The 22,315-nt window shown below is 52.7% G+C and overlaps 5 annotated features.

Annotated features, from left to right (window-relative positions):
- Positions 1,864 to 2,859: an enhancer, noted in NCBI's record as "H3K27ac-H3K4me1 hESC enhancer chr13:114906114-114907109 (GRCh37/hg19 assembly coordinates)". NCBI's record gives its function as "activates a minimal SCP1, AML or CMV promoter by ChIP-STARR-seq in primed H9 embryonic stem cells {active_cell/tissue: H9 hESC(primed)}" and the evidence as "EXISTENCE:reporter gene assay evidence [ECO:0000049][PMID:30033119]".
- Positions 9,545 to 9,604: an enhancer, noted in NCBI's record as "active region_8058". NCBI's record gives its function as "activates an Ori minimal core promoter by ATAC-STARR-seq in GM12878 lymphoblastoid cells {active_cell/tissue: GM12878}" and the evidence as "EXISTENCE:reporter gene assay evidence [ECO:0000049][PMID:35858748]".
- Positions 9,935 to 10,114: an enhancer, noted in NCBI's record as "active region_8059". NCBI's record gives its function as "activates an Ori minimal core promoter by ATAC-STARR-seq in GM12878 lymphoblastoid cells {active_cell/tissue: GM12878}" and the evidence as "EXISTENCE:reporter gene assay evidence [ECO:0000049][PMID:35858748]".
- Positions 12,022 to 12,522: an enhancer, noted in NCBI's record as "H3K4me1 hESC enhancer chr13:114916272-114916772 (GRCh37/hg19 assembly coordinates)". NCBI's record gives its function as "activates a minimal SCP1, AML or CMV promoter by ChIP-STARR-seq in primed H9 embryonic stem cells {active_cell/tissue: H9 hESC(primed)}" and the evidence as "EXISTENCE:reporter gene assay evidence [ECO:0000049][PMID:30033119]".
- Positions 12,523 to 13,023: an enhancer, noted in NCBI's record as "H3K4me1 hESC enhancer chr13:114916773-114917273 (GRCh37/hg19 assembly coordinates)". NCBI's record gives its function as "activates a minimal SCP1, AML or CMV promoter by ChIP-STARR-seq in primed H9 embryonic stem cells {active_cell/tissue: H9 hESC(primed)}" and the evidence as "EXISTENCE:reporter gene assay evidence [ECO:0000049][PMID:30033119]".

The raw sequence follows: 22,315 nt of genomic DNA on the forward strand, positions 1-22,315 counted from the left end.
AGACACGGTGGTGGGTTTAGACACGGTGGTGGGTGTAGACACGGCGGTGGTGGGTGTAGACACGGTGGTGGTGGGTGTAGACACGGCGGAGGTGGGTGTAGACACGGCGGAGGTGGGTGTAGACACGGTGGTGGGTGTAGACACAGCGGTGGTGGGTGTAGACACGGCGGAGGTGGGTGTAGACACGGTGGTGGGTGTAGACACAGTGGTGGTGGGTGTAGACACGGTGGAGGTGGGTTTAGACACGGCGGTGGGTGTAGACACGGTGGAGGTGGGTGTAGACATGGAGGTGGGTTTAGACACGGTGGAGGTGGGTGTAGACACGGTGGTGGGTGTAGACACGGTGGCGGTGGGTGTAGACACGGTGGCGGTGGGTGTAGACACGGTGGTGGGTGTAGACACGGTGGTGGTGGGTGTAGACACGGTGGAGGTGGATGTAGACAGGGTGGTGGGTGTAGACAAGGTGGAGTTGGGTGTAGACACGGTGGTGGTGGGTGTAGACACGGTGGTGGTGGGTGTAGACACGGTGGTGGGTGTAGACACGGTGGTGGTGGGTGTAGACACGGTGGAGGTGGATGTAGACAGGGTGGTGGGTGTAGACAAGGTGGAGTTGGGTGTAGACACGGTGGTGGTGGGTGTAGACATGGCGGAGGTGGGTGTAGACACGGTGGAGGTGGGTGTAGACACGGCGGTGGGTGTAGACACGGTGGAGGTGGGTGTAGACATGGTGGTGGGTGTAGACACGGTGGTGGTGGGTGTAGACACGGTGGCGGTGGGTGTAGACACAGTGGAGGTGGTTTTAGACATGGTGGTGGGTGTAGACACGGCGGAGGTGAGTGTAGACACGGCAGAGGTGGGTGTAGACACGGTGGTGGGTGTAGACACGGCGGTGGGTGTAGACATGGTGGAGGTGGGTGTAGACAGGGTGGTGGGTGTAGACACGGTGGAGGTGGGTGTAGACACGGTGGAGGTGGGTGTAGACACGGTGGTGGGTGTAGACACGGTGGCGGTGGGTGTAGACACGGTGGTGGGTGTAGACACGATGGTGGGTGTAGACACGGTGGAGGTGGGTGTAGACACGGTGGTGGGTGTAGACACAGTGGCGGTGGGTGTAGACACGGCGGTGGGTGTAGACATGGTGGAGGTGGGTGTAGACAGGGTGGTGGGTGTAGACACGGTGGAGGTGGGTGTAGACACGGTGGTGGGTGTAGACACGGTGGCGGTGGGTGTAGACACGGTGGCGGTGAGTGTAGACACGGTGGAGGTGGGTGTAGACACGGTGGTGGGTGTAGACACGGTGGAGGTGGGTGTAGACACGGTGGCAGCACCGCACGGAACACTCAAAGCCCACTTTCTGGCTGTGATGGCCGAGGAGAGCTGCCTCCCCTCCGAGTGGCCCATCCTAGGTACCCTTGAGCCTCACAAGCTCAGTTGCCAACCTCCCTGCTTCAGGGAGGGGTGGGGCAGCGGGTGGGACAGGAAATTCACCAGGTTGTGCAGGGCAGGGCAGGAGAGCAGAGGGAGACGCTCACGCCCCCGCCCCCAGGCCCGCAGAAGCCGTGGGTGCTGATGAATGCCCCTCAGCCCACAAATCCCTGGCACCTTGACTGTGACAACGATCGCGGCTGCTTTCATTATACTTAGGAGTTGTGAACCACCGCGTCAATTACTTTTATTTCTTCAAATAGTTTCCTGTGAAGCTAACTCATCTCCCCAGATTGTCTCCCAATTTCTTCGTCTGTAAAATGGGGCTGGCAGCAGTGCCCGCCCGCAGGCCTGTGCCGGGACCAAGCTGCGTGTGCTGTGTGTCCTGTGTCTGGCAGATAAGAAACAGTCGGCTAGAGGTAGCTTTTCTCGTGGTTATTTTTCCCGAGAGCACTGGCAGGCATTTTTCCTCTCTGCCATCCTCCCAGCACTGCACACTGTGTCGGGCCCCTGGTGGATTTGCAGATCTAACTCTTGTACGTACATAAACCACACCAGGACCACAGAAGAGAAGCCGAAGTGTGGGTGCTGTCCCCAGGGAGCCCCCGCAGTCTGCCCAGGCTCAGCCTCCTCCCACCCACAAGGAAGGCTGTGGATTAGGAGAGTGAGGAAAATGCCCTTCAAAATACATGATGCATAAAAAACACAAACGTTCACCGCAGATTTATTTGTAATGGCAGAAAACTGGAGGCAACCTTCAAGCTGTCCTTCAGCAGGTAAAGAGTGAACTGCGTGAAAAGCAGCAAGCGAGCGGGTGCACAGTGTTGCAGGTGAGCCTCAGGGGAACTGGGCTGAGTGAAGGGAGACAGTCTCAAGCTGACAAAGTCACAGCAACGGAAAGCAGAGCAGCGGGTGTCAGCGGTCAGGGGTCAGGGAGGGGCAGGAGGTGGCTGTGGCTGGAAAAGGAGCAGGAGAGATGCTCGTGGGATGGAAATGTCCGGCATCTGCACAGAGATCTGCATACAGGGCACAACTGCCCAGCTCTAGACACACTCACACACACACTCACACACACACACACACGGGACACAACTGCCCAGCTCGTCCCTCACACACACATGCACACACACTCCCTCACACACACACATGGGACACAACTGCCCAAAACTAGACACACTCACATGTGCACACTCCCTCACACACACACGCACACACTACCTCACATGTAAGCACACATGCACACATGCTCACACACACTCCCTCATTCACACACACACTCCCTCACATGCACACACCCTCCCTCACTCACACACGCTAGCGCACACATGCACACACACACTCACTCATACGCGCGCACACACACTCCCTCAATGACACGTGCACACACATGCGCACATACATACTCCCTCCCTCACACACAACCTTACACACAAATTCCCTCACATGCACTCACACACGCACACACACTCCCTCACACATACACATACAAACTCACATGCACACACCCTCCCTCCCTCACAGACACACATGCACACATGCTCACACATGTCCTCACATGCCCACACCCTCCTTCATTCGCACACACACACCCTCCCTCACTCACACATGCAAGCACACACGTGCACATGCTCACACACATCCTCACACACTTCCTCACACACCCTCACCCACATGCACTCACACACATGCACACACACTCCCTCACTCATGCACACATACACAAGCATACTCACGCTCATACATGCTCACACACCCTCCCCTCCCTCACACCCACATGCACACACTCGCACATGCACATATGGTCACACAGTCCCTCACACACACACTCCCAGTCCCTCACACACACAAGCACACACACAGACATGCACACACATTCATGCACTTCCTCCTTCACACACATTCATGCTCCTCACACAAATACACCCACATGCACACATGCACACAGACACACTGGTACACACACACGGACACCCACATGCACACACACACAAGCATACCCACATGCACACATACAGACACTGACACACACATGCGCACCCACATGCACACATACACATAGACACACTGATACTCTCACACACCCACATGCACACAGACACACACACATGCACACCCACATATACACAGACGCACTGACAGACTCACACAGACTCACCCATACACATACACTGACACACACACCCCCATGCTCACACACACACTGACACACACGCTCACACCCAGTGTATGTGCAGCTGGTGCCATCCGCCCTCAGGGCACTTGATCCCATCGGTGACCACTCCTTGCTTTGCAAGATGCTGCTGTTGGGGGAACTGGGCAAAGGGGCTGCTGTTGGGGGAACTGGGCAAAGGGAACAGGCACTCTCCGTGTTATTCCTTACGACTGTGTGTGAATCTGCAATTATCTCAAAAGAGAACCGTTTAAAGCAAGAGGACTATGTGGGAGTGGACACCAGCTCCCTGGCCCTGTCCTGCTCTTGCGGCAGCCCCCACCTGCCCGAGGCCTCCGCTGTGGGAACTGGAACCTCCCTCACAGGAAGGGCGTGACCTCGTGTTTACCAGCCCTGCCCTGAGCGCAGAGCCCTTCGTGGAAATTGGTGCCTTGTTGTCATGAGAGGAAGGTTGAGGCCAGGAGAAACCTCAAGTTCTTGTGGGCATGGTGCTGCCTCGCGGTTTGACTGCAGGAGGCCTTACGGCGGCTCCGAGATGGGTGGCTTGGCCTGGAGCAGGACGAGCCAGGGCGAGGGCAGCTGCTGGGCGCCGTGACCCTGGCTCCTGCTGCAGGCTTTCCTCTGGGCCCCCTGTTCCAGAACCTTCTCCCTCTCAGGCCACCTGTGTCTGTGCCCCTCAGGAAGCAAGCAGGCTTTCTGCAGACCAGGCTCTCTCCACCCTCCAGGAGGCGTGGCTGTCAGGGCAGCTGGCTGGCGCCCCACTGCTCTCCAAGCCAACCAGCACCAGGTGTGAAAGGAGTCAAATGTGTCCCAACGTATAAACAATGTTTATCCCGACTAGACAGGCCACATCCTGATGTTTTACATTCTGTTCTAGCTTCCTAGACTAACCTTGTGTACTCAGCTTCTAAATGAGTGTCGGGCCCCTCAAGTAGATGCCGTGAGCAGCTGCTGTGTGCACGTATGTGTGTGCTTGTATGTGTGAACGACAGTGTGTGAGTGTAAGTGAGGGAGTGTGTGTGTGTGAGGACGTGTGAGAGCATGTGCGCATGTGCCGAAGGTGCCAGCTCAGGACAACCAAGCATTACGTGTTCAGGAATTTTGCAAGCTGGTTGTTAAACAGAGCCATTACTAAAAATTCAATTCGATGGGCTTATAGAGTTTATAAAATTGCACGAACCCATGCTCTGGGGTCGCTGACATCTGTTCTATGGAGGAAATACAGTCACGCACCACATGACAATGTTTTGATATGGAGGAAATACAGCCACGCACCATATAACAATGTTTTGATATGGAGGAAATACAGCCACGCACCATATAACAATGTTTTGATATGGAGGAAATACAGCCACGCACCATATAACAATGTTTTGGTCAAGCAGGGTGGTCCCACAGGATTGTAGCACCAGATTCTTACTGTCCTCTCCCGGGTTAGTTGTGTTTGGACGCACATACACCACTGTGTGGCAGTCGCCTGTGGCATTCGGTACAGGAGCCTGCACACAGGTCTGTGGCGGAGGAGCGCTGGCTGTACCTTGCAGCCCAGGCCTACAGGGGGCCCGGCCATCCAGGCGTGTGTAAGTCACTGTGAGGCCCGCACAGAGAAATCGCCCAGCCATGTATTTCTCAGAGTGCATCCCTGTCACAAAGCCACGGTGAGTGTGAACGCAGGGAGCGCTGCCTGTACCTCCTCCCACCTGGGAGTGTCTCATGCCCTCCCCCAACCCCGTTTTTTCCTGAGTCATTTGTTAAACCTTGGCCTCGCTTGTGACTGGCAGTTTGAAATGCCCTATTCAAGTCAACTCCCCTCCCTGGCCCACGCCACCTTCGTGTTTCCTGTGAAGAGGCTGAAGGGAGGCCATGGGGGCCCAACGTGTGACCAGTGGGTACTCAGCTGGGAGTGGTGCACATTCCAACTCAGGGTCCAGAGCTGTCACCCCACAAGGTCCTGCCTCTCGACTCATGCCCACCCCAGAGGTAAGGACCGTCTGCCCACAGCCTGGGCTTCCAGGCGCTGCAGCTGGGAACTGTCACCCCACCTGGAATGGTCCCCTGAGATGTGGCTCTGTCAAGGGCTGGGGACAGGTTCTGGCTCCGGGCACGTGGACTCTCGCCCACCCAGGTCCAGGACCCAAGGCACAGAGGCTGGGCTGATTCCTGGGGGCCTCGCTGTGCCCTTCCTGCACAGCCCCTGGGGGATTTGCAGGGTGTGGGGTCTTTGTGGGGCCTTGTCCTTCAGAGCTTCCTATTTGCCCCTTTCAAATTGGTTGAAGAAACCTTGGGGAGTCAGGAGAGAGCCGAGAATCAGGACTGAGTGAGAACAGCGAGCTGCCCTCCAAGGCCGCCTCTGACTGGGGAGGCTTCCGCGTGGCTGTGCAGTCACTGGGCTGATGAGGCTTTCCGCCCTTACAACACAGGTTCAACTACAACACCTCAAACTCAACCCCAACAGCTATGAAAGCAGCATCGGGGAATTGGAACGAAATCACTCCCGATCCCACCTCTGCTACATCCGAGCCATGTCTGTTCCTGCATTCATTTCCTGCAATTTTACTCCCCAGCATTCGTGTTTTCATGTGGTTCTAACTAAGGCCCTAGAGGCTACAGCCCCACGCCGTCCTTGCAGAAGCTGTAGCTCATCTCCTTCGCTATTTTAATTGAATGGGCACCAAGCGTTTGCCCTGGACCACCTGTGAAAGGCACCGAGGGAGAAGCCATGGGCTCAAGACCCCCCAGCCAGGGCTCGCCTTAGGACCCTTTACATATTTGAAGGGAGGCCAGGAAGGTGCAGCCACAGTTTCATTCTCTTATCACTCTGCCTGCATTTTTCAGGTTTCAATAAGAGCAGATATAATTAGAGGGGCTCTGTTCCTCCTGGAGAAAGAACACTGCAAATTACAGGGTATCTCTAATGAGCCATGGACCGGAAGACAGCATCACTGACCCCTCATCATCTCAGGCTCTCCTCTTGCCACTCCCACCATGACTGGCTGGATGACCAAGCAGGGGCCTGAGTGTTCAGCTACAAAGACAAGCAGCTCCATGCAGCCTTCAGAGAGGAAGAGAGGCAGGTGGCTAGAGAGCCCCCTGTGACAGATGGGCTGGTCCGGGCAGGAGGAAGGAGGGCAGGGGCTGGAGAGTCCCTGGGGACCAATGGGGCTTCTTGGCCTAAATGCCACGGGTGGGAGCTGGGGCAGCAGGGGTTTGTGAGGCACTCACCTGGATTATCTGTCATTGTTGTAGCTCATACAGTCCAAGGACCTCAGACTATAAATGTGTGGTGGTGAATTAACTACCTGTTGTGATGTTATCCTGGTCCTGTGAAGATTTACAAGGAGCCATGTCACTTCTCTGCCAAAACCCTGGACTGTCCTCCTGTCCCCCTTGGCACAAATCACAAAGCGCCATCGTGCACACAGGAGCCCGGGGGCTCAGGCGTCACCCAGCAGCTCCAGGCCTCCTGGCTCCAACCCTCTGCCTTCTTGCTTTCCCTTCAGCAGAACGGGTCTCTCCCTTCCCGGGGCCTTTGCACATTCCCCCTGTAGGAATGCTCTGTCTTGCTCTCTGCAGGAATTCCCTCTGCAGCAATGCTCTGTCCCCAGGGATCTGTGTGTTGCTTCTCTCTGAGGACACCTGCGAGCGAGATTTCCTCGACTACACAACGTCAAATAACTGGCCCTTACCTGCATCTGCCCTGCTTTATTTTCCTGAGTAACACGCACGTAACACGCGTCACCACCTGGCCTGCTCACTGATGTGACTGCTCATTGACCCTCCCAGACTCAGTGGGGTGAAGATATCTCATTCCTAATTGCATCTCACTTAGCAGTAATAAACAGAACACGAATCTGCATTCAACGGTCGATGCTTCCACAGTGTTTCCTCCAATACTCGAGAATCTGCTCCACAGGTAAACGGACTTCTCCAACTGGTGATAGAAATGGTGGTGCCCGTGGTGGTGGGAACCCACACCCACCCTCAGACTCCAACTCGCGCATCTCCGCAGGCCCAACAGCCCCCGCTCCAGTGGCGCAGAGACCCCCGAAGGCCGGCACCTGGACGTTCCCCTTGAGCTATTCACTTAAGAAGAAAAAACAGTCCAGTCTCCATAGGGCACTCTTCTCATCCATTCTGAGAATTGAAAATCAGGCTTTTTGTTTGTTTTGTTTTTAACCTCAAACAGCACTGTTTCTAAACCACGGGGAGTGAATCCAAATCTGAAGACAGAATATGGACTGAACTTCGGGGCTCCCTGGGCTGCTGGCTGTCAGCTCACCTGTGCCCACCTACCCCGTGCCCACCTGCTTTACTTACCATCCTGGAAAGACTTCTCAGTCTCAGCCATGGCCCATGGCAGCCCAGGCAGCCCTTGCCTTCCGCTCTCTGCGAGGGAGCCCCTGGAGGGCGGCAGTGGAAGAGACGCTCTGAAGCCTCAACAGCTCCAGAGACCAGTGGGCAGCCTTTCCATTCCTGTGTGCCGGCCTGACATCCCCCCGCGTGAACTCCCTTGCACACACACGAACACACACACACAGAGATTACCCACACGCCCATTCAAACAGCAACTTAATAACAAGGAACTGAAAAAAAGAAAGGCTATTAGACCCAAATGAGAATCACAAGGTGGATCCCAATGAGAACTGTCTGCAGCATCACACTCACCGCTGTGTCTGAGAACAGGATTTTCCATTTCGGCAGTGGATCTAAACCTGATGCCCAGGACCTGTTTTAAGCAGTGAATCAAAGATCACAGAAGTTAAAGTTTGGCAAGTTTTCGACGTCAAGGAGATGGAAAGCCTAAAATCAGTTTCTGAACCACTAAATTAGAGGGAACAGCCTTGCTCGCGAATTTTCCAGAATTCCACAAACAATTAAGAAGACCCAGGGTAGGAAGCACATACAATTTGTTTTCTTTGATGGTTAAGTTGGTTTAAGGCACAGAGTTGAGAAGACAGGCAAGAAGAAGCAACTGTTCAAGCCCCAAGGAGAATCCTGAACCGACCCAGCCCCCAAGGAGAATCCAGAACCGACCCAGCCCCCGAGGAGAACCCAGAACCGACCCAGCCCCCGAGGAGAACCCAGAACCGACCCAGCCCCCGAGGAGATCCCAGAACCGACCCAGCCCCCGAGGAGAACCCAGAACCGACCCAGCCCCCGAGGAGATCCCAGAACCGACCCAGCCCCCAATGAGATCCCACAACCGACCCAGCCCCCGAGGAGATCCCAGAACCGACCCAGCCCCCGAGGAGACCCCAGAACCGACCCAGCCCCCGAGGAGACCCCAGAACCGACCCAGCCCCCGAGGAGATCCCAGAACCGACCCAGCCCCCGAGGAGATCCCACAACCGACCCAGCCCCCGAGGAGACCCCAGAACCGACCCAGCCCCCGAGGAGATCCCAGAACCGACCCAGCCCCCGAGGAGATCCCACAACCGACCCAGCCCCCGAGGAGATCCCACAACCGACCCAGCCCCCGAGGAGACCCCAGAACCGACCCAGCCCCCGAGGAGATCCCACAACCGACCCAGCCCCCGAGGAGACCCCAGAACCGACCCAGCCCCCGAGGAGATCCCACAACCGACCCAGCCCCCACGGAGAACCCAGAACCGACCCAGCACCTGGGCAACATTCTGCCCCCGGCCTCCTCCACTTGCTGGGCATGCATCACCGTCATCTGCAGCCACTTTCCCCAATGCCAGAATCAGAAATTTTCAAAATGGTTGAATAGTATTTGGTTATTTTTTGATAGGATATAATGCTTTTGTTCCTTCTTTGACTTCACGTTTTCTTTGTTCTCTAAGCTAAATGCCAGCATTTAAACTGTATACCGAGACACACAATTGTGTGAATATTAGCTTGAGGCTCTCTTAAGACAGACTCAGATATCCAAAGGCTTTGAACTCACAGAATTTTGTAAAACTCGAAGCACATTCGCACTGCCCTTTGGAACCTGCCTTGTCTACAGAGCTAATAGGCAAGACCCAGCTCACCCAGGGGGCTCGGGGATCCCCAGCCCTGCGTGACTTTGCAACACCAGCTGAGATGCCTGGTTCCCAGTTAAGTTACTAGGATGAGTTACAGCACTATTTATTCAAAACTCTGAGAGGCCCGTGTTACTGCTAATTCCAATTTTAACTTTTCTTCCAGAATGGCAGGAAGCGATGAGGGCAGCTGAGGTTTCCAGAGCTCGTGTGTAGCAGGCGCCACGGCTAGTGCATCATGTGAAATTATGTTGCTTTTCTCAACTGTGAGGTGGGGACTCAACATGGTTTCCATCGCAGCCCATACAGGCTGCTGTGGTTGACCAAGCTTCCTTTGCTGGCAGGGCTGGGTGTGTTCTGCTGGCTGCAGCTCACCACCATGCTCAGAATGGCTCATAATCATTTGTTGTGTACTGTTTTTTCCAAAGACACGTCTCTGAGACTACGTCAGCTGCACCTGGACATGGTCACACGTCAACATCATACAGAGTGGTTTCTCAGGTAGCAGAAAGTGACAAATGAGACACGGTTATTCTTGTAAGGCAACTGTGAAATAACAGGGTATCACACAAATTTAGGTGGCCATTGTCTTCGTCTCAAATTTTCTCCTTAAGAAATTAAAAACAGGAGAGAAAAACAAGTTTTCGATTAAAAAACAAGGAGATCCTGGGATCTCCGTGGGGGCTGGGTGGATCCTGGATTCTCCTCGGAGGCTGGGTCGGTTCTGGGATCTCCGTGGGGGCTGAGTCGGTTCTGGGATCTCCTCGGGGGCTGGGTCGGTTCTGGGATCTCCTCGGGGGCTGGGTCGGTTCTGGGATCTCCACGGGGGCTGGGTCGGTTGTGGGTTCTCCTCGGGGGCTGGGTCGGTTCTGGGATCTCCTCGGGGGCTGGGTCGGTTCTGGGTTCTCCTCGGGGGCTGGGTCGGTTCTGGGTTCTCCTTGGGGCTTGAACAGTTGCTTCTTCTTACCTGTCTTCTCAACTCTGTGCCTTAAACCAACTTAACCATCAAAGAAAACAAATTGTATGTGCTTCCTACCCTGGGTCTTCTTAATTGTTTGTGGAATTCTGGAAAATTCACGAGCAAGGCTGTTCCCTCTAATTTAGTGGTTCAGAAACTGATTTTAGGCTTTCCATCTCCTTGACGTCGAAAACTTGCCAAACTTTAACTTCTGTGATCTTTGATTCACTGCTTAAAACAGGTCCTGGGCATCAGGTTTAGATCCACTGCCGAAATGGAAAATCCTGTTCTCAGACACAGCGGTGAGTGTGATGCTGCAGACAGTTCTCATTGGGATCACATTTTCTTCTCTGTTCAGGTGGAGGCATTTCATACATTTTTTACCAGGACCAGACAACCTTGGCAAATCATCTAGAAAGCACAGTAAATGTGAAAATGTGATTAAATAAACAGGTGTTGGATTTCAGAATACTGTTTTATTTTTTTTCCTCAAAAGACATCTGCTTACCAATCTCAGTGTTACTGGGGCTGAAGGCCATGCTCTTTCCAATGATGGGACTACACTCAAGTGCTAATTTATTACAATTACAAGTTTCCCTTCACCACTGCTGATGGCATAATTTGACCACAAGTGTTTTGCAAATATATCACACCTGGTATTCCAGGACCCACTTCAACCACTGGCTTGACTCAGAATTTTCCAACAGGGACAATTAGCATGTGCCACCTGCTGGAAACACTAGCCACACCTGAAGTGAAAGGAGAATCCTGGAAAGTCTTCCCCTGGAGCTACCAGACTCCCCACTCTCGAGTCTGGTGGACACGGCACTGTCAGGACCCCTCCCCTCGGCAGAGAGTGGTGGTCGGCTGCAGGTCTGCCCACCGTCTGACGGGATTCCAGCTCTGCCCCAGTGCTTGGCACCTGGGTGCTTCTGTTAAACCCAGTCCCTCCCAGACCCTTCCCAGATTAAACCTGGACCCAGGACCCCGCCCTTAGCTGCATTATCACTGCCCAGCAGACCTGACCCTAACCCTAACCGCCAGAGATCCTGTTAAGCAGGTCTATGGTGGGGCCCAGAATTCACACTTCATCCACTTCCCAAGTGATGCTTTACTGTTGGTCCCAGAATAGGGTGATAGCCCCTCAGTCTGCCAGGGGCAAAGGAGGGTTCCTGTGACCTGGGACTTTCAGCGTTGAAGCTGGAGCAGCCCTAGGGCAAAGTGGGACGGTCACCTCACCTGGGGACCTCACCTGGGGACCTCACCTGGGGATCACACCTGGGGACCTCACCTGGGGACCACACTTTGAGAACCACTTACCTGGATCCTTTATTAATCCTACGGTGGAGAAAAACTGCTGACATTAATTGTGCTGAACTTTGTATTTTTATTGCAGACTTCTTCCTTCGAGATGTATGTGCACAAGAGAAGATAACAAATGAGTCCCCAACACCTAATCTGGAATTTTTATATTAAGTTTTCTCTCTCTTAGAGAAGAATTTTCAAAGAGTAGTCATTCAAAAAGCAAAACACACAAACAAAACCCTAAAACTTTGAGAGACCATTTTATGCCTGGAGCCAAAGATGAATTTTATAGGCTTTGCTTCTTTAGGTCTTGGCTCCAAATTCTACACAGTGCTGTGTTCCTTTCCACCATCAACATACAGAACCAATTCCCCTTCTGGATTGTATGCACTGAAGAACTTTAGCTTTATTTATTAACTTTTTAAAGATCTCTCAATTGGTTACATAACAAACCACCACCAGCCTAGTGGTGTAAAGGAAGCAGCATCATTTCCCGAAATTCTGAGGGTTGGCTGGAAGGTTCTCGGGGCTGAGACTCCTGGGCTGGGCTGGGGTGGAAGAGGGCCTCACTCACACGTGCAAGGCCTTGGCAGAGACATGGCCTCCGAGGCACCTGAGGTCTCTGTCATTCACTCCCTCATTCTCAGGAGGCCAACTCGGCCTGCCCACTTGGCAGCAGAAGGTTCCCACCGCAACAGCGGGGACGTCCAATGCCTTTCAAGCACTTCCCAAGTTTCTGCTGGTGTCAGGGCTGCTTTTGTCCCCTTGGTCAAGCTGCACCGTGTGTCCAGGCCCAGCGGTCACAGGGGAAGGGCCATGCAGGCTCGGTGTATGGAGGCAAGTCTGGGCACCATCACAAACTCACCATTTCAACAAAACACTCATTGTTTCTGAACTATCTTTAAAAACAACTTTTAAGAAATAAGAAAAGCTATTTCCAGAGCACTCACCAGTGCCACGTGCACACGGATCATCTAATTCTAGGGGGGCAACTGCACGGTTTGCCCCCGACCGTCCAGTGTTAGTGTCCAAGGAAGCCCCTCAGTTCCGAGGTGAACCAACAGAACAGATCACCCTGTGAGGTATGAAGTGTTGTCCTCTGCATTCGACAGATGAGGAGGTTACAGCTGCGAGACTGTAGGCGGTTGCCCGGGCGCTCTTCCAAGTAGGTAGCAGGGCCGAGTGAATGAGCCTAGGCACCGCCCGGTATTGCTGCAACAGCCAGGCGGCGCTTTGACTTCTGGGTCAGTGTCACTGCCTACCTGAATCACTCACTTCCTGTAAAATACTTGATTCCAAATTACTTTGGTCTGTATTGAAAAATAAAATTCAAGTTTACCTTTAAAGACAAAGATTTGCCATATTTAAGGATATTTTAGAGAACGTGCTACTGACTCTGAAGAAGAGGCATAAAACCGCCTTGAGGAACGGCATCGTCTGTGCTGAAGCAGGCAGCGCCCAGCTGACGACTGTCAATGCAGCCCTAGCAAACACGGCCACGCTGCCCTCCATCCAGGGTCCTGTCCAGTGCTGTGCTAAGCACTTCACGTGGTGACAGCTAGCTGCACACCAGGCACGGTCAGGTGCTTAGCGTTTATTAAGTCGTTCAATTCTTCTGTAACCCCATGAAATGGATGCTATTGCTAGAGCTGTTTTCTACAGAGAATTTAAGGATTTTGCCTAAGGAGATGTCACCAGCAAGTAGCAGACCATGGTTTGAACCTGTCCCCCAGTCCCAAGTCTACACATAACTGTTGTCCCACGGGTGATAGGTGTGACAGTCCTAGGCTCCAGCTCTTTCCCCGGCGCCACAGTGCCTGCTGTGCTTGGAGACACCACCCTCACCTGACTGGGAGAGCTCCACTCAAGGACCCGCACAAAAATAATCCCAGCTTCCGTGGTTTCCTCACACCATTCCCCGCTCACAGTTTACCTCCCTAGGAACCCAACACTGTTTTCCTGTAGCTCATCACTTCACAAATGTATTGCCTTTTGTTAAAATCGTGAATAAGCCTCTGGTCTGACTGCCTCTGCGGGGTTTTTGTCTCATTTCGTGAAGCCGCCACATGCATATGAAGTAACGCTTTTTCTCCTGTTAATCTACTTTTGCCAGTTCAATTTGCAGGACTCCAGTCACTAAAAAACATAAGTGAGTGAAGGAAAAGTTTTTTTCCTCACCACCTGTTTGTTGGAAAGCAAGTAATGGCCCACCTGGTATTCTTTTGGTCAAGACACAACGGGGAAATGGGGCTCCGGTCAGGCCCCTCAGGTTGGGCCTAATTGGAGCAGAATCGGAGGGGCCTGGGCTTCTTGCTGCCAGTGGCAAATGTCCAGTCAGGAAGTCACACGGGCAGCAGCAATGCCGGCAAGGGACGCTTGTAGCAGGAACGGGGCAGCCTCCCTTACTCAAACAAGACGCGGACTGCCTGAGGCCGGCAGCTCAGAGAACAAAAGGCAAGTGTGAGGGGGACGGGGTCAGTACTCAGAAAGCTCCATGTGCCTTCCTGCTGAAAGCAACATTGAAAGCACAACATGTGCATTTGGTTAAAAACGCTGAGGGCTTGTGCTGGGAGGCGGCAGTGGTGGCCTCAACCATCTCCCCGTCCGCCCGCATGGCAACCACGACGACTATTTCCTCTGGTCAGGCATTTCCAACCTCCTCCTGTTATTACAACACTCTCTACTCACTAATTTTAGATAGAGTCTGTGCCAGACTTCCGACTACGATAGTGAGAATTCAGCCAACTTGCTCTGAAGAAATCATACAGGGCCTAAACTTTCTGAGTCCGTATGAGTCTAAAAATATCTTTATTATTCCCACACACTTAATTTAGGGTCCAGGATAAAAGCAGATTTTGCCGAGAGCCTAGAGGCATCACTCCACCATCTCCACCACTACATCCCTCCATCATCTCCATCACTACATCACTCCACCATCTCCATCACTGCATCACTCCACCATCTCCATCATCTCCATCTCTCCATCACTCCATCACTCCATCATCTCCCTCATCTCCATCACTCCATACTCCATCATCACCATCTCCATCATTCCATCATCTCCATCATCTCCATCATTCCATCACACCATCATCTCCATCATCTCCATAGTCTCCATCACTCCATCACTCCATACTCCATCATCTCCATCACTCCATCATCTCCATCATCTCCATAGTCTCCATCACTCCATCACTCCATGCTCCATCATCTCCATCACTGCATCATCTCCTCATTCCATCATCTCCATCATCTCCATCACTCCATCATCTCCATGCCTGTTGACATTTTCTCAGGACCTGCCTGCACGCCTCGACCTCTGCCTTGGAAGGTCTGGGCTGCTGTGTTTTCTGCTTGTTTCTTGCACACAACGTAAAGTTGGGTTTCACTTTGCGAATGATCCCACGAGTCTTTTTGTTGAAGAGGTGAGTCGAATTTATTTACTTATGTAGACTGAGAGGAAGGATGCAGTGGCCCTTGGTTTTGTCATATTTCATGTTATAGTTTCTAACCAATCCTCTTTTAAAAATTTCACTAAGCATTCTGTGTTCCACTGTGGGTGTGTCTTGATTTGGAAGGTTGATGTTTTTGTTCCAGGAGATACGTTTGCTCAGTTTTCCTTCCCCTTGTGGCCACACTTCTCTGCTGCTCTCATCGTTTCATTTGTGCCTTTCCCGTTTTTTGTCTGTTGGTTTGTCTGTGCCATGGTGTGATCCTAGCTCACTGTCACCTCCAACTCCCAAGCTCAAGCACCTCCCGCCTAGGCCTTCAAAGTGCTAGGATTGCAAGCGCCGCCCCACGCTCAGCCCCTTTCCCTTGTTAAAAAGTGCCTTACTCTCAAGAGGCTGAGGCAGGAGAATCGCTTGAACCCGGGAGGTGAAAGTTGCAGTGAGCCGAGCCGAGATCGCGCCATTGCATTCCAGCCTGGGTGACAGAGCAAGACTCTGTCTCAAAAAAAAAAAGCCTTACTCTGTCTGTGTCTAGACCCTGTGGGGCTTCTCTGGTTAAGGGGGCCTGTCCTCCTTAGATGAGCTGTCCCAGGAGGCTGCTACTTCCTGCAGCTGCTGAGGCTCACCCTCCTCTTTCCACCACTGAGGCCCAAGGCTCCAGTTGCTCTGAGGAGTGTGGAGGCCCGTGAGGTGTGGGGGTGCGGAGTGGCCGTGGAAGGTGTGTAGGGGATTGCAGTTGGGGTTGGGTGCTGGATGTGCAGGTAGAGTATAAGGGTAGGGGGTTAAGGTGTGGGGCATGGGGGAGATTGGGGAGGTTGGGAACATGGGGCAAAGTGGTGGGGGATGGGGGATGCAGGGGTGGGGATGGGGGATGCAGGGGTGGGGTGTGGAGTTATGGTGAGTGGGGGGCTGTAGTGGGGCGTTGGGGGTGGAGGGGGCTGTGAGGGTGTGGGGTGTGGGTCATGAGACATGGGACAGTGGGGGCTAACGGGGTGGGTGGGGTGTGGGGTGTGGGATGCAGAGTGTGGGAGCTCAGGGAGTTAGAAGGTCGAGTTAGAGGGTGTAGGTGTGGGGGCATGATGGTGGGGCCTGGGGGAGGGGGAGGGTGCGCAGGTGCAAGGTGTGAGGGTGGAAGGCTGGGAGACCGGTAGTGTGTGCGACTGTGGGGTGTGGAAGTGGGGGACTCAGGGGAGGAGTGGGGTGTGGAGGTGTGGGGCACGGGGTGGGGGGTTAGGGAAGGGTGGAATGTAGGGGGAGTTTGATGTAAGGGTGGGGGCTATGAGGAGGGGTGGGGTGTGAGGGTGAGGGTGGGGGCTTTGGGCAGGGTAGAGGTGTGGGGCATGGGGTGGAAGGCTGTGGGAGCAGTGGGGTATGGGGTGCAGGGCATGAGGGTGAGGGGCTAAGGGGAAAGTGGAGGTGTGGGGCATGGGGATGGAAGATTAGGGCCAGTGGTGGGGTGTAGGGGTGTAGGGTGTTACCTGGAGGGGGAAGGTGTGGGATGCACGGTGTGAGGGTGGAGGGGTGGGGAGGGTGGGTGCTGGGCATACGGGTGGACAGTGGGGAGGGGTGGGGGCCAGGCATGAGGATGAAGGGGTGGGGAGGGGTGGGTGCTGAGTGTGGGGGTGGAGGGTGGGGAGGGGTGGGGGCCGGGCATGAGGGTGGAGAAGTGGGGAGGAGTGGGTGCTGGGCGTGGAGGTGGAGGGGTGGGGAGGGGTGGGGTGCAGAGGGTTGGGAGGGAGGGGTGAGGGAAGGGGAGGTGCTGGGCGTGGGGGAGGGGGGGTGGGTGCCAAGCCTGGGGGTGGAGGGTGGGTGTGGTGGGTGCGGGGCCTGGTGGTGGAGGGAGGGTGGGTTGGGTGCTGGGCATGGGGTGGAGGATGGGTGGGGTGGGTGCTGGGTGTGGGGGTGGAGGGGTGGGGAAGGGTGGGTGCCAGGCGTGGGGGTGGAGGGGTGGGGAAGGGTGGGTGCTGGGCGTGGGGGTGGAGGGATGGGTGGGGTGGGTGCTGGGCCTGGGTTTGGAGGGGTGGGTGGGGTGGATGCCAGATGTGAGGGTGGGTGCCGGGCCTGGGGGTGGAGGGGTGGGTGGGGTGGGTGAGGTGGATGCCGGATGTGAGGGTAGAGGGGTGGGTGCTGGGTGTGGGGGTGGAGGGGTGGGGAAGGGTGGGTGCTGGGCGTGGGGGGGGAGGGGTGGGGAAGGGTGGGTGCTGGGCGTGGATGGGGTGGGTGCTGGGCGTGGGGGTGGAGGGGTGGGGAAGGGTGGGTGCTGGGCGTGGGGGGGGAGGGGTGGGGAAGGGTGGGTGCTGGGGCGTGGGGAGGGGTGGGGAAGGGTGGGTGCTGGGCGTGGATGGGGTGGGTGCTGGGCGTGGGGTGTGCACCTCCTCTGGGCTCCCCGACCTTCACCCTCGCCCTTCCCAGTCCTGGTGTCAAGGTAACTGGAATGTGTTTCTGTTTCTCTTTCTCCTTTTGATTGTTTTTCTCCCCAGAAGAGGAGAGGAAGTGTCCTTTCGGTCCCCTGTCCTGGGTCTCCTTGCTTGCCCCCACCTCCCCACCAGCCTCTGCCCTGTCCTTCTGCTCCGGAAAGTTTCCTCTGTGGAGGAAGCGTCCTGCCTCCCTTCTCTTCTCTGAAGCCTATTCGCCTGGCATTTCCTCAGCGCATGGTCCAGGACTTTAATCTCTCCTTGAGAATTCTCCATCTGTCTTTTTGAGGCATATTCTGGAAACCTCACTGGACCCTGAAGTCCATCTCTTTCGTGGGATTTTCAGTTCAGAAATCATATTTTAAACATCTTTCCTGCTCTCTGCCTGTTCTTAACTAGTATTCTGTTCTTATGTTACCTATATGCGTATTTTCTTGAATATTCTGAGGACAGTAATTAGATCTTTAACTTCATTTTTTGTTTTCCCACTTAGCTGTTTTCTCTGAGGTCAGCTGTCACCTTTTTTTTTTTTTTTTTGAGACGGAGTTTCACTCTTGTTGCCCAGGCTGGAGTGCCCAGGCTGGAGTGCAATGGTGCGGTCTCAGCTCACCGCAACCTCCGCCTCCCGGGTTCAAGCGATTCTCCTGCCTCAGCCTCCCGAGTAGCTGGGATTACAGGCATGCACCACCATGCCCGGCTAATTTTGTATTTTTAGTAGAGACGGGGTTTCTCCATGTTGGCCAGGCTGGTCGTGAACTCCCGAACTCTCAATCCACCCACCTCGGCCTCCCAAAGTGCTGGGATTACAGGCATGAGCCACCACGCCCAGCCAGCTGTCACCTTTGTGGATCCTCCCCCTCTGTCGCTGGTTTCTATGGAAAGTCTGGAGAAGCCTGCTCACCTGTGTCTAAGAACCAGTGGCTCATTTAGATGGGATACTGTGGGTTTTCCGTGGGGTCCTCCAGGTGGAAAGGTGAGCTAGGGGTGGAAAGGTAGCTGGGGGTGGAAAGGTGAGCTGGGAGGGAATCCACAGACGGGGCGTGGCTGTGCTTTATTTAGGACAGATGGGTGAGGAGCAGGCAGCAGGCTAGCATCTCTCCCTTCCCCCGAAACACTGCAATCCACACTAGAATAAGGCACATATACACCATGGAATACTGTGCAGCCATGAAAAAATGATGAGTGCATGTCCTTTGTAGGGACATGGATGAAGCTGGAAACCATCATTCTCAGCAAACTATCGCAAGGACAAAAAACCAAACACTGCATGTTCTCACTCATAGGTGGGAATTGAACAATGAGAACACATGGACACAGGAAGGGGAACATCACACACGGGGCCTGTTGTGGGGTTGGGGGGAGGGATAGCATTAGGAGATATACCTAATGTAAATGACGAGTTAATGGGTGCAGCACACCAACATGGCACATGTATACATATGTAACAAACCTGCACGTTGTGCACATGTACCCTAAAACTTAAAGTATAATTAAAAAAAAAAAAGATTTTACCCTGGGGCCCTAGACCCAGGCTGCAAGCTGTGGCCACACCCAGGATGCTGACTCCAGGGCCGTGAATAAGAATCTTCTGACGCTGCCTGGGAACCTGCTGGCTTCTTGGCGGGATACAGACGCAGGCACGGGTTGCAGAGGTGACTACTGCCAGGCACTTGTTCACAGGCAACTGGAATTACCAGCCCCCACCCCGTTTTCAGCCCCACATCTATCTCCCTTTGACCTCCCAGCTCAGTGCCACTCTGGGATCCCTCAGCAAGATGACCCTGGCCTCCACCATTGATCTCTGAGCATCTCTGGCTGGGCGCCTTCACCCTGCCCCACCGCCCACACCCTTGCATCCCCTTCCACCTTTGGAAATCATTGGCCATTCTCATCTGCCAGCACCTCTATTCCTGTTCTCTTTGGGGCTACACGTTTCTCCTTGGACTTTGTTTCAATCCAACTGGGCCTGAAGAGGAGGGAGGCCCTGCATTCAGGGTGCCCAGCAGCAACTGCCCTCCACTTAGCGGGAGTTCAGGACAGGACAGAGTGCTTAGACATCTGGGGGCATTCCAGCACTTCCAAAGACCCCGTGCGTGGTGTTCTCAACGTCTGTAAAATGTGGAGGTGAACATTAGACTATTGCTCTCCTAAGAACTTCAGTCACGCTGAGCACAGGGGGTAAATTCATCCCTGGTCGCATTCTTGTGAAAGGCATTATGTAGCAGATCATCTTTTTTTTTCTTTAATTTCATTTTATTTTATTTTAAGTTCTGGGATACATGTGCAGGACGTGCAGCCTTGTTGCATAGGTAAACGTGTGCCATGGTGATTTGCTGCACAGATCAACCCTTCACCTAGATATTAAGTCCAGCATACATTATCTTATTTTTCCTGATGCTCTCCCGCCCCCCAACCCCACGACAGGCCCCGGTGTGTGTTGTTCCCCTCCCTGTGTCCATGTGTTCTCATTGTTCAGCTCTCACTTATAAGTGAGAACACGCAGTGTTTGGTTTTCTGTTCCTGTGTTAGTTTGCAGAGGATAACGGCTTCCAGCTCCATCCATGTCCCTGCAAAGACATGATCGCATTCCTTTTTATGGCTGCGTAGTATTCCATGGGGTATATGTGCCACGTTTTCTTTGTCCAGTCTATCATTGATGGGCATTTGGGTTGATTCCATGTCTTTGCTATTGTGAATAATGCTACAATGAACATACGCATACGTGTATCTTTATAATAGAATGATTTATAATCCTTTGGGTATACACCCAGTAATGAGATTGCTGAGCCAAATGGTATTTCTGGTTCCAGATCTTTGAGGAATCACCACACTGTCTTCCACAATGGTTGAACTAATTTACACTCCCACCAACAGTGTAAAAGCATTTCTATTTCTCTACAGCCTCACCAGCATCCGTTGTTTCTTGAGTTTTTAATAATCTCCATTCTGGCTGGCGTGAGATGGTTTCTCATTGTGGTTTTGATTTGCATTTCTCTAATGATCAGCGATGTTGAGCTGTTTCTCCTATGCTTGTTGGCCACATGTATGTCTTCTTTTGAGAAGTGTCTGTTCATGTCCTTTGCCAACTTTTTAACAACAAGGTTGTTGGGTTTTTTTCTTATAAATTTGTTTAAGTTCCTTGTAGATTCTGGATATTAGACCTCTGTCAGATGGAGAGTTTGCAAAAATTTTCTCCCATTCTGTAGGTTGCCTGTTCACTCTGATGACAGTTTCTTTTGCTGTGCAGAAGCTCTTTAGTTTAATTAGGTCCCATTTGTCAATTTTTGCTTTTGTTACAATTGCTTTTGGTGATTTCATCATGAAATATTTGCCCGTGACTGTGTCCTGAATGGTATTGCTGAGATTTTCTTCTAGGGTTTTTATAGTTTGGAGTTTTACATTTAAGTCTTTAATCCATCTTGAATTGATTTTAATATAAGGTGTAAGAAAGGGGTCCAGTTTCAATTTTCTGGATGTGGCTAGCCAGTTTTCCTGGCACCATTTATTAGACAGGAAATCCTTTCCCCATTGCATGTTTTAGTCAAGTTTGTCAAAGATCAGATGGCTGAAGATGTGTGGTCTTAGTTCTGAGTTCTTTATTCTGTTCCATTGGTCTATGTGTCTGTTTTTGTGCCAGTGCCATGCTGTTTTGGTTACTGCAGCCTTGTCTGAGGTCAGGTAACTGAAGCATCCAGCTTCGTTCTTTTTCCTTAGGATTGTCTTGGCTATATCGGCTCTTTTTTGGTCCCATATGAATTTTAAAGTAGTTTTTTCTAATTCTGTGAAGAACGTCAATGGTAGTTTAAAGGGAATTGCATTGAATCTATAAATTACTGTAGGCAATATGGCCATTTTCACAACATTGATTCTTCCTGTTCATGACCATGCAGTGTGTTTCCATTTGTTTGTGTCCTCTCTGATTTCCTTGAACAGTGGTTTGTAGTTCTCCTTGAAGAGGTCATTCACTTCCCTTGTTAGCTGTATTCCTAGGTATTTTATTGTCTTCGCAGCAATTGTGAATGGAAATTCATTCATGATTTGGCTCTCTGCTTGTCTATTATTGGTGTATAGGAATGCTTGCAGTTTCTGCACATTGATTTTGTATCCTGAGACTTTGATGAAGTTGCTTATCAGCTTAAGGAGATTTGGGGCTGAGATGATGGGGTTTTCTAGATATAGGATCATATCATCTGCAGAGACAGTCTGACTTGCTCTCTTCCTATTTGAATAACCTTTATTTCTTTCTCTTGCCTGATTGCCCTGGGCAGAACTTCCAATACTGTGTTGAATAGGAGTGGTGCGAGAGGGCATCCTTGTCTTGTGCCAGTTTTCAAGGGAACGATTCCAGCTTTTGCCCATTCAGTATGTTATTGGCTGTGGGTTTGTCATAAATGGCTTTTATTCTTTTGAGGTATGTTCCATCAATACCTAGCTTATTGAGAGTTTTTAACATGAAAGGATGTTGAATTTTACCAAAGGCCTTTTGGTAGCAGGTCATCTTTACAAATGTTGTATCTACTCCTGACTCATTTTCAAAGCAGGACTCACCGTGACCCCCCCTCATCCCGCAATTGTTCCACTGCCTCGTCATTCGTCCCCAGCTTGTGAGA

Source organism: Homo sapiens, chromosome 13, assembly GCF_000001405.40.
Source record: "Homo sapiens chromosome 13, GRCh38.p14 Primary Assembly".
Taxonomy (NCBI): Eukaryota; Metazoa; Chordata; class Mammalia; order Primates; family Hominidae; genus Homo; species Homo sapiens.